Source organism: Homo sapiens, chromosome 10 (assembly GCF_000001405.40).
Source record: "Homo sapiens chromosome 10, GRCh38.p14 Primary Assembly".
NCBI lineage: Eukaryota > Metazoa > Chordata > Mammalia > Primates > Hominidae > Homo > Homo sapiens.
The window spans coordinates 52,057,100-52,069,325 of NC_000010.11; the positions used below are offsets into that span (position 1 = coordinate 52,057,100).

At 37.3% G+C, this 12,226-nt stretch overlaps 1 protein-coding gene across 6 annotated transcripts in view, besides 2 other annotated features; it reads left to right on the forward strand.

Annotated features, from left to right (window-relative positions):
* PRKG1 (protein kinase cGMP-dependent 1) overlaps nt 1–12,226 on the forward strand; it is a 1,307,463-nt gene that overhangs the window by 1,066,212 nt on the left and 229,025 nt on the right. For 5 of the 6 annotated variants that reach the window (NM_001098512.3, XM_017016413.2, NM_006258.4 and 2 more), the window contains one exon: nt 5,438–5,532. In NM_001098512.3, coding sequence (NP_001091982.1) covers nt 5,438–5,532 — 95 coding nt within the window. Of the gene's footprint in view, nt 1–5,437; nt 5,768–12,226 lie in introns of those variants that run through there. The other variant, NM_001374782.1, reaches the window with a different exon arrangement.
* Nucleotides 6,853–7,457: an enhancer, noted in NCBI's record as "H3K27ac-H3K4me1 hESC enhancer chr10:53823712-53824316 (GRCh37/hg19 assembly coordinates)". NCBI's record gives its function as "activates a minimal SCP1, AML or CMV promoter by ChIP-STARR-seq in primed H9 embryonic stem cells {active_cell/tissue: H9 hESC(primed)}" and the evidence as "EXISTENCE:reporter gene assay evidence [ECO:0000049][PMID:30033119]".
* Nucleotides 7,458–8,062: an enhancer, noted in NCBI's record as "H3K27ac-H3K4me1 hESC enhancer chr10:53824317-53824921 (GRCh37/hg19 assembly coordinates)". NCBI's record gives its function as "activates a minimal SCP1, AML or CMV promoter by ChIP-STARR-seq in primed H9 embryonic stem cells {active_cell/tissue: H9 hESC(primed)}" and the evidence as "EXISTENCE:reporter gene assay evidence [ECO:0000049][PMID:30033119]".

Below are 12,226 nucleotides of genomic sequence, written 5' to 3' on the forward strand. Positions count from 1 at the left end.
CTTGCTACCACCAAACTGGCTTTTTCTTAGAAAATGCTGTGAGATAGAGAGACACAATAGGGGCTGCCAAGCTACAAATGAAATTCCCCTTGTTCAGTTCCACTTATTTAAGTGTAAAACAATTTTTATTCTTCCATTAAGCACATTCACACAAAGAGAGAAGCATTATAAAATAAGCTTTGCCGTACTTGTTTTTCCCCCATTAAGCCTGTGCTATCTGATTTTTCTAAAACCTGAGGCAGAATGCTTGCAGTGATGATGGCTAAAATACTGGTGCTGCCTTAAGTAGAAGCTCAGTTAGTTCTCTACACTTCAATCACTCCGTTCCAGTTGCCTGGAAACGTGAGTTGCTTCTCCAACAGTGAACTATAAAGCACCGAAGATTCCTGCATATGTCCCTGCAGTTGTGTCACATCATAAAATGAACTATCTCTTTATAAATAAATCAAACCAAAATTGAACAGGGAACAGGATGGGTAAGCAAAGTTGCAGAGTTCTAATAGTAGCTCAAATAGATTTTGATTTTTCTGATTCCATTCAACATACCTCGTATCCTACCATTGGAAAAAAATGTGATTCAAAAATTCTTGTCTATCAAATGGCATTTAAAATCACATGGCTTTGCTTCATAAAGTTAACAAGTATTTAAACATGCCAATTAAATATGTTGCCTTAACACAATGTTCAGTGTTTTTTAATATAAAAAGTGTTCCGTTATGGAAATTTTATTTGCATATGTATACATATGTTTATGTATACATTATGGTGAAACCTCTGAGAAACATTTTTTTTAATATCAAGAACAAGATAAAGATATACATTATTACCAATTTTGTTTAATGTGGTACTAGACATCCCAAATACTATAGTAAGTTAAGAAAAATAAATAATATTTGGAAATAAAGAAACAGTAATTATTTATACATGATATGTTTTTAGTTTCTTTTAGGATTTTATATAGACATATATATTATTAAAATTTAATAAGAGTTTAGCAAAATCGGCATTATTCAGTTCATTTTTCTTTATTAATGGAACTGTTCTATATCTCTACACAACCCAATATAATAGCTATTGGTCACACTTGCTATCTAAAGTAAAATTATCTGACTTAACTTTAATGTTAATTTCTCAGTAGTAGTAGCCACATTGCAATAGCTGCTAGTAGTGGCTGTCTTGGACATTATAGAACTGGATATTTTACTATAAATGAATATTGAAAAAGCCATATCATTCAACATATTGTACCATATTAACAGTCTAAAGAAAAAAATCACATTATCATGCCAAATGATGCAGTGAAAGGGTGTGACAAGTATAACATCCATTCATAATAAAACTTCTCAGCAAACTGAGAATATAAGAGAATGTTCTTGCCCTGATAAGTGGTATCTACAACATGCCTACAGTTAACGTACTTAAGGTGAGAAACAGAGCAATCAGTAAATGAAAGTAACTGACAGCAAAAGGAAAGTCTTTTCAACAAATGGTGATGGAACCATTGGTAATCCATGGACCAAAACAGGGGAACCTTGACCTAGACTTTATACCTTACATAAAAATTAAATGAAAATTGGTAATAGATTTAAAAGTAAAACATAAAGCTATAAAACTTTCAAGAGAAATGTATGACTTGCGATTAGATAGGAAGAGTTCCTAGGCATGACACCACCAGCACAATCCATAAAGAAAAATGATAAAGTGGGCTTTATCAAATTTAGAAACTTTTATTCTGGAAAAACACTGTTCAGAGAATGGAAAGACAAATTACTAACAGGGAAAATTATTTGAAAAGTACACGTCTTGTAAGGGGTTTGTATTGATCCTATCCTTTATTGATCCTATTTAAAAAAACACCTAAAAATCAACAAAAAACACCAAAGTACCCACTTTAAAAAACAGAATGAAAGACTTGAACACATCAGCATGCAAGATACACAAATGGCAAATATGCACATGAAGAGGTGTTCAAAATGATTAGTCATTAGAAAAGTGCATATTGAAATCCTGAGATACTACTGCATACTTAATAGAATGGCTAACTCTAAAAACAAAAATTAACAATATCAAGTGCTAGTGAGGATGCAGAGCAACTGGTATTCTCAATCACTGCTCCTGGGAATGCAAAATGGTAAAGCCATTCTGGAAAACAATTTGCAGTTTCTAATAAAGTTAAATAAACATTTACCGTATGACACAGCAATTACTCTTTGTGATATTTATTCTAGAGAAATGAAAATATAGCTCACACAAAAAACTCTGCATCAGTGTTTGTAGCATCTCTATTCATAATTGCCAAAACTAGAAATAAACAAATTGTGTCATATTCATTCAATGAAAATATTAGTCAGCAATAAAAAACATAAACTATTGAATCTTGCAACAACTTGGATGAATCTTAAAGGTCTAATGCTGAGTAAGAAAAAAAGGTCTGAAAAGGTTAAATATTGTATTATTTCATTTATATGGCATTCTCAAAAAGATAAAATTAGTTTGATGCAGAACAGACTATAAGGGTGAGGAATGAGAAGGATATGACTATAAATACATAGCGTGAAGGAGTTTCTGGAGGTGATGAAATTGTTCTGTGTCTAATTGTTCTGGGAATTAGACAAATCTATCCATGTGTTTAAGTTCCTACAACTATATTCCAAAAAAGAAGTAAATTTTACTATATGATAGAAGTAAATTTTACTATATGATAACTTAAAAATTCATGTATATTTCTAAATACTGTAACATGTAACTAAAATACGTTTTTAAAATACCATTTCAAAAATCAAGTATCTAGGCATATCTATAACAAGAAAATGTTCGAGTCTTTTAAGAAGAAAATTGTATTTAAAATAGTATAATGAAGAGCAAAACACCAACATGGCAGAACATTAGAAAGAAAGAGAAACATATTGGGAGTTGCTACAGTAGATATCAAGACCTATTATAAGGTTCAGGTAATGGAAAAAAATGTGGACTTAATTTGACTGAAAACTGGACAAATATGTCAGTGTAAGAATGGTGAGCCCAGATAAAGATCCATGATAATATGGAAACTTGATTTAGGATGGCATGGACATTACAGGTATCACAACAATTGGTTATGCATAGGGACATAAATAAAATTGGATCCTTAGCTCACACCATACATAATGGCAGTTTCAGATGTAAATGTGAAAAGAAAAATTAGGAAAAAATTAAAAGATAATTGGGATAATACTTCTATTATCTTGGGATAAGAAAGGATTTCTTGAATAAGATATTTTAAAATGCAAACAATAAAATATTACACGGTTAAGTGTAATTACATTAAAATTAATACATGTGTTCAACAGGACACCATAAAGATGATTTAGACAAACCATAGTCTTGTGAATGAACAACAACAAAAATAATCAGTCCAATAGAAAAATTGGCAAAAAGCATGATCAGACATATAATCAAAAGAAGCACAAGTGGCTCAGAAAATAAGATGATAAAATCTCCCACATCTATTAATAATAAGGGAAATGCCATCTAATACCTACCTTTCTGGAAAAAAATCAGTCTGACAATATTAAGTATTGATAACAATATAATATAATATAATATGCATTTTCATCCATTGATGGTAGGAATGTAAGATTGTACCAAGAGTGAGTTAATACCTAGTAAAATGGAAGATGCATATACTTAATAACCTTGTTCTTTATTCATAGACGTTGGCCCTAGTGAACTCTTACCCATGGACACTAGAACACATGCATAAGAATGTTCACAGTAACACAGTTAATAGCACCATAAAAACAAAGTATAACAAAAATAAAACTGGAAGCAACCCACATTTATATCTACAGAATTAGTAAATTGCATAATATTCATATAATGGAATGCTGTTTAAACAAAGAAAATAAATTTTAGCTTTTATATGAACATGGGTGAATGAAAACCTCAAGAATAAGGGCCCAGTAACCTTTATTTTAGATCAGACTCCCTACTGAAGTTTCTGCATCTATAAAAGCCTCTTCAGCATGCAAATTAGTGTCTCTGTGATACAGCTTAGTGGTCACAGAGACACAGAGACACAGCTTAGTGGTAAGTAAAAGTGTTAAAAACTGAATTTCCATGGTTTTGAAACACTGTGTGGAGGAGTAATCAAATGGATCAGTGGAGAATAATAATTGAATTTCCTCCACCTTACACAGACCTTCTTAATACTTATAAAAATTCTGGTCTTTGACATCTAATCTCTAGATTCAGAAACTTGAAGCACAGTATTATTAAATGTGTTTAAGTGTTTGGCATTGTCTCAAGAAATTAGTTTTTTTACTTCATCACATTTTCCGGGTAGGTGAATTTTAACTAACCTTTCTGGATGACACATAGACAGTTTTGTGAATGTTAGTAGAGCTTGAGGGAGAAGTGAATTAACACAAAGGTACAAGTTACTCTATTTTTGTTTTCATTCATGCAACAAAAAACATTATCACTTGCCTTCTGTTAAGTCACAAGTCCTGTGTGTTCTAGGCTATCTATGTTGTTAGTAATGACACATTCTGTTAAAACAATTTACAACTATTTATTGAGTGCTTATTATAATTTGTGGAGAATGCCAAAGAAATACAACTTTCTTTTAAGGGCATTTTATTTATTATAGTAAAAAAGGGCCTATATGTAATTTATATATCTTTAGAAATAGAAATCCTACCAAATGAAGCATGTGGATTTTGAGGGATATAGTCAGTTACAGCCATGCAAGAAATCTTTATGAAAATGAGATGTGTCTTCAAATGAAAGCTGGATTCTTCTCAGGGAAAGGGACAGGCGTATCCTAGAGAAACTAGGATATGCATATGGAGGCATTTAGAAGGATGTTCATTTCAGCAGAATGAATAAAAGAAAGAAAAAAATTGAAACAATATAATTGCCAATTTATAGGATATGGGTAAGTAAATATATTTACATAATGAAACAAAACTCATACGTTAAAATGAATGAAATAGATTTATACCTAAGAACATGGAATAAATAATTAAAACAATATTAAGAGAAAAAAGTAAGTTGCAGAATGAGGAATACTACCTATGTTATTAATATATTTTAAAAATTCATGTACATAAACACATCAAAAGATGGACAGAAATGCTCACCAAGTTCATTATAGTGGTTGCTTCATAAAGGCAGGAAAATTAGAATAGAGATGAGGAGTGAGATCAAATTTACTGGTAATGTATTATTTCTTTAAAATAACTTGAAAGGATAACAAAATATTTGGAGGTAAGCTCTTGTGGTTTTCCTGGGAATTTGTGATGTTGTTCTTTGGTCCTTTTGGTGGTAATTTAAATGCTTTTTCTTTATAAAAATAAGAAAAGAAACAAGAAACGGAATTAACTTCATTAATTAGTGTTCCTTTGTCCATTGTGGGTAAGCAGTGGATCTAAACTTTCATTGTTTCTCTTTGCAGGTAAATGTCACTCGTGAAGACTCACCGAGTGAAGACCCAGTCTTTCTTAGAACTTTAGGAAAAGGAGACTGGTTTGGAGAGAAAGCCTTGCAGGGGTAAGTAGATCATGTGTTATACAGGTTTTTGTTTGAGTGCTACATAAATTTCTGTCTGAAATTTTGAGCTCCTAGCACAATAGGCTTTTTATTTAGTGCTTATCTCAATATCAAATATGGACCCTTGATGATAAATACATTTTTATTTATTTTCAGCTGGACTTGGAATCTGTTTGAATACGTTGTGGAATAAATTCCTTAATTTCTAATAAATCAGTGTTATATTAATTGGAAACATTTTCAGGTTTGTGTCCTTAATTGCAATCTCTATAACAACTTCAAAGAGAGGAATTCCCTGCTAAACTTTGTGCAATGATTTTACTCAGAATCATTAAGATAGTTGGTTGAAATTTTTGAAATCCCTAAACCTGTTTGTACAAACAATTGTTATGGGGTCTTTGGGGTGTCAATTTCCTGGCTGGAAACCTGTGGCTGGTGGGCGCCTTCACCTGAGTTTTGCTTGGGCCCATTGGGCTCATTATGCCCACTTGGCCTGGCAGGTTGCATTCAGTTCACACTACCGACCTGGTTCCCACATCTTCAAGGGAGACTGCAAGTCAGGCGTGAAGTGGCAAGGGGCACGTGAGCGAGTGTGGGGTCTGGCCACTGCACAGGCAAACAAACTGGCTGCTGCCGTGAGGTGGGCAGCTCCAGGTGCTGGCATGGGATCTTTGTAAGGCTGCGGCCGAACCAGGCACACCACAAGCAGCTTCCCCGGCTAGCATCAGGGAATGTGGTCGTGCCTGGAAGCTTAGAGACACCAGGAACTGCATAGCCCCAAAGCGGGAGTCACAGCCCTGGCTCGGGGAGCTCCCAGGTCTGGGCCCCCCAAAGGGCTGCAGCTCTTCTCTCCTTGTCTTCACTTACAATGTGGCAAGCAAGGGGCATGTTTCAGCCCTGTTTGTATTACAACTCTTTTAGCCTCACCATTCAGTGGTTCCCGATTTCTTGACCTGTGACCGGGAAGAATGTGGTACGCAGACAAGTGGAGGTTGAACAGGACAAAGAGGAGCTTTATTGAACACTAGAATAGCTCAGAGAAAACCTGCAGTGGGCAGCCCCTCTCCACAGCCAAGGTGTCCCAATGTGTGTTCAGCTCTTAGCAGAGAGGGTAGCTCCTCTCTGTAGGCAGGTCGTCCCAATGAGTGTTCAGTTGTCAACAGAGAGGGTAGCTCCTCTCTGCAGCTGGTCATCCCATCATCTGCAGCTCTCAGCAGAGAGGAGGCCCTAGAGTGGGTAGCTCCTCTCTGCAGCTGGTCATCCCAATATCTGCTCTGCTCTGGTTAAGCCTGGGGCTTTTATGGGCCTCAGAGGGGCAGAAATACATGCTGATTGGTTCATGAGTGGCAATAGGCAGGTCCAGAAAAGGCACTGCAAGTTCCCACTCTTGTCCATGGGACTGGCAGCCTGGCCTCCAGCCTTCAGGCCCTCCCTGGTCTGAAGGTGGGGCCTTAATGGGGATCCACCACGTTTCTGCCCAGGAACCTGTCTGCCTCCTGCTGCCATTCATGACACCCAGGCTGTAGGTGCCAGGGGCACCTGCAGGCCAGCACCAAGCTGCCGTCAGCCCACCACTGGATTCCCTCCTATGCTCATTGGCACCCAAAGCCCAGAGGGGGGTGAGTTGTCAGGGGACTGGCATGCCAGCACTGCCCTGAGCATGTGCACACCTGGCCGGACTGTGACAGTGCCTGGGCTCAGTCCCAACTTTCCTCCAAAATCAGAATAGGAGCCAAAAACAGAGAGAAGCCAGGCAGTGGGAGCAGGCACCTCTGATCCTGTGAGGGCCAGGGGGCCCTTCCCAGACCCCTAAGAGTGCAGAAATGCCTGGGTCTAGCTACCTCCAAGAGGGCAGGGATCTTGTCAGCTCCTAGTCCCCCAACAGCACAGGGGAGGCCCGGGTCCATGGCCGTGACTTCGGGCAGCTGTAGCTGCACCGGGGAGAAAAGGGCTCCTGCTTCCCCCTGCCTGCCCATGACTTGGGTGGCTGCAGCCTTGCCCTGGAAGACAGGGCTCCTGCCTCCTCCCAGCCCCAGGAGCACAGGGATGCCTGGGCCCACAGTCGTGGCTTAGGCAGCTGCAGTGGTACCCAGGGAGCTCCCATCCCAACTCAGAAGGGGTGGGGGTCCCTCCTGTCCCCGGCTCCTGCTGGCTCCATGGGTGTGCAGACCTGGCCATACCTCCCTGCTGCACCCAGTGTGATGGCAGCAGCAGCTCCAGATGGCCTGCCACTGCCATCACAATGATCACAAGGCAGTGAAGTATTTCCAGGGTTCACTTGTAGGTCATAATTGTCATCACTCTTATGGTGGTAGAGGTGGAAGAGTAGGTGGAGGTAATGTACATCTGGATTCACTATGGGATAGGCTGTGAAGGCTAGACTAGTAGAGGTGTACTTCTGTGAGACTGATACTCTATTTTTAAACTAAGACATCAAGAAGCAAGCACTTGGGGGTTCTTCTCATGTATCATGAAGGAAAAACTGAGTTGACTTTTTACCATGCATTTTACAGAATGCATGATAAAAATATTTGGGTATCCTACTCTCATTTTCCAATAACCAGTATATCTCAGTTATCATTAAATATAGATAAGCCTTTTCAACATTCAGTGCTGTATGTATATACACTACTTGAATAAGCAACAACCAATAAACATTTATTTTTCTATCGAATTTCAGGTACAGGAGTGTCTCCTAGGGAGGGACAGCAATAGGACATGATTTACTCCTAGCATATGGGAACAGTCAGTTCTGTTTTCATTTCAAATTGTGCCTTCATTTAAAAAATTACATTATGAGCCTTTTTCTTCAAAGTACTTCTAAGAAGTAATTTAGGAAGTTATTGTTTTTTAAGCCACAATCAGATGACAGGTTTTATTTTCTTTCTATTTCACAGCTTAATAAGTGAAATAAAGATATTCTGATAAATCATCTTACTCAGGCTATATTACCTTATGAAAATTCAGAAGTAACTACACTCAACTTTCCTTTTTTCTCCTACTGAGTTCATTTTATCCTTATCTGATGAACATATAGTTGCCATTAGATTTTTTTCAATGTCAAAGTTGGAAAAAATAGTATTTTTGGTGTAGATATACAGAAGAGTGAAATAAACATTATCTTTCTAGTATAAATGTATCATCTGTATCTTAATCTTGCTTTCCTTTGATTATTAAATGTGTCAAAAGATGGCATTTTATAGAAATCAGGTGGCATTTTATAGAAAGACGCCACCTGATTTCATTGGTCCAAGATTAAATACCTCTGTGGAAAACAATGTTATTTCCAACAGAATCAAAGAACCAGAAATATTTACAAACTGAGGTCGCAAGTGGAATGCCAGAAAATAAGGCCCCACTCTTTCTCTTCACATCTACCCCTTACCCCCATTTCCTCACATCTCTTTCTTATGCTGTTATTCTCACTTTCTCGCTATGGAACCTGGTTTTATTAGTCTACTCTAAGTGCCCTCTTAAATGTCACCAGAGATTTGCTAGTTACCTCATGAAATGGTCCTTTTATTTTTTTCTTCATTTGACTTCACTTCTCAGCCATGATTTTACATTGTTGACCACCCTTTCTTTCTTTAAATTCTCCACCCTTCGGGACCCTTTAAATTATTGGCACTCTTTAGAATTTATTTCATTTCCTAAAATTTGCTAATATTATGTCCTCAACTGTATTTCATAAACCTTGGTAAGCTCCTCCAGATATATGATTGCATAATACCTCAATGAAAAGAAGTCCCAAATATTTATATTCTTATTTGAACCCGGTGTCTGGCACTTATCAAATACCCACATATTTTTTAACAAATGAATGAGTGAATGAATGAATAGATGAACAAATGAACCTCTCGAATGATGTCCAATCTTAAAGTCCCTTCTTCCATTGATCACATTCAGGACTTGAATTTGCCTGGCAGTGGATAGGGGTTATGAGCTCGCTTGACCATGGGGGGCAGGCTAGCGATGTAAATGACTACAATAGGCTAGTAAAACAGGTGGCAAACTGGGAAGTCTTATGTGATGAGGACGGAAATTACTGAACTCCAGCTTGCTGCTGCTCTGTAAGAATGTAACCTCGGCTTTTTAAGAAAAGCAGAAAAAAACCTAGATTTTAAAAATATGAAATGTGATTTTGTAATCTGATTTTTTAAAAAAGCTCTGTAAACCAACAGACCATTTCTGCAAACTCTTTGGCGTGTGGATGCCATTTTGTGATTTCTATCACTCAGATATGCCTCTTTAAAACCTGTCCTTTGCTTCAAATGAAGGAAGCCTATTAACTCATCTTGATTATTTTCTTGTTTTGATGTTTTGACATTTTAACATTTTGATATCCTATGCCTGTAACTTGTTTTTCACTGTGTCTAGGTTTTTTTAATCTTTTGTTTGCATTTCAATATTTTTCACAAGAAATTCCAACATTTCGCAAATCAAATTGATTTGTTTCACTTGTTTCCTTCTAAATAACTTAGAAATTGATATAACTTTGATATATAAAATCTTTTGGGCAACTGTGTATATCCTTTGGGTAATAGCTATGCTTGTTTACAAACTATATAGTTTTTATACTTGGAATAAAAATTGTAGAGCCAGCATTCTCTGTATGTACAGAACAGAATTTCAGATTGTGGTTTTCTCACAAATAAAATTTGTGTGTACTCGGAATTTTGGTTTTATTCTCTTGAAGTTGTTCAGCAGGCAATTAAATATTGATAAGTTTCTGGTTGGAGATTGAGTGAAATGAATATATGTTTGACCATTCTTTTTAAATTTGAGAGTGCATAAATACTAGTACTGATTAAGCACACAGTAGAAAATGGAATGGCATTGCCGAAATGTAAACTCAACACCCTTTCTCCAGAACTCAGCCTCATGACTACTATCTAGTTCTGCCTCTAAAAGTAACAAGCTTTATTTTCTTGTTGGATGGAGATAGTAGAGTCATAAATTGAGTCATCTTATAAACTGTATTATTAACATCCTTTAACCAATAGCATCTTATTATTAGAAAAATTTGAGTCTCTTTCACTTTAGTTGACATAAAGCAAATTGTGCAGTATTGTTTGGCTCAAGCATCTTTTTTTTTTTTCTTTCCTTGCTCTGATAAGTGTTTATACACACCAAAGAGAGGGTAAAATGTTTACTTTTTACAGAAGTACTCCCTTATATATATATGAAAACTAAAGGTGTGTTTAAGAGCAATCACTTCACGTTTAGTTCAATAACTCATAAGTCAATCCATCTATACTTTGACTTACCATTGCTTCAAGATCCCTACTTGAGGCCGGGCGCAGTGGCTCACGCCTGTAATCCCAGCACTTTGGGAGGCCGAGACGGGCGGATCACGAGGTCAGGAGATCGAGACCATCCTGGCTAACACGGTGAAACCCCGTCTCTACTAAAAATACAAAAATCAGCCGGGCATGGTGGCGCGTGCCTGTAGTCCCAGCTACACGGGAGGCTGAGGCAGGAGAATGGCGTGAACCCGGGAGGCGGAGCTTGCAGTGAGTCGAGATCGCGCCACTGCACTCCAGCCTGGGCGACAGAGCGAAACTCCGTCTCAAAAAAAAAAAAAAAAAAAAAAAAAGATCCCTACTTGACTTGAAACCATATGGAATACATATAAACATCAGATGATGGCAAATTCTAAACCGAATATTCACTTTGCATCTCCAGTGATAGGAAATATGGTAGACCAAGTTGTACCCAAAAGGGATGGGATTAAGCTCCCAGTAGCCACCTTCCTTTCTTTCCCCTAACTTTTGAGTCTTCAGCATAGCATATGGCTAAGAGATCCAGTTCAGAGCCAGATTGCCTGCTTTGGAACTTATTCTGTCATTTATTAATGATTAGTCACTGAGAAGAATTTCTTTTATCTGAAATGGGGATTATGATTACATCTAACTACTTGGGTTATTGGAGGAGGAATCAAAAGGATACTTACAAAGAATTTGGGTGAGTGCATATAATTTAGTTTAATGCTTCCCTAAAGTGAGCTGTCATCATCACTACCACCATCATCTTTATCTACATCATCATCTTCATCATCATCATCATATCATCATACCAGCACTGTTCTGCTACCACTTGATAAAGTTTAGTGTACTGGCAAAATTGACATAGCATTAGATTTTGAGTCAACCACTCATTGATTGACTTTCAGCAAGCCAGTTAAGCTCCTGTAAACTAAGCCAATTGAACTAGGTGATCTTTAAGTTTCGTTAGGTCATAGCTTCTGGTTCTCTGAGAGTTGGCCCTTTTCCACCTGGAACAGACCCCTGAATGCCAAGTGCAGCCCTGAGTTACCTGTTAAATGGTGGCATTTAATACCAAACCACTGTCAGCAAGGAACTTCCCTCCAAGAACTTTCCCAGCTGTTGCCTCTCATTCTGAGTACCTGTGCCACATGCCAGGCCCTGTTCATGTTAATGCAAAAATGAATTAGCCAAAGTCAGTTGAATAGACATTAATATTAGAAATCTGTATTTCCTTATTTGTTTTCACTTCATAGTCTGTGATCATGGAAAAGTTAATTAACATTTCTGAACTTGCTTCTTTGTTTTATCTTCTGATGTATATTTTTTTCTTTTAAAAAATTAATAAAATTTTGCTGGGCATGGTGGCTCATGCTTGTAATCCCAGCACGTTGGTAGGCTGAGGCAGGCAAACCACTTGAGGTCAGGAG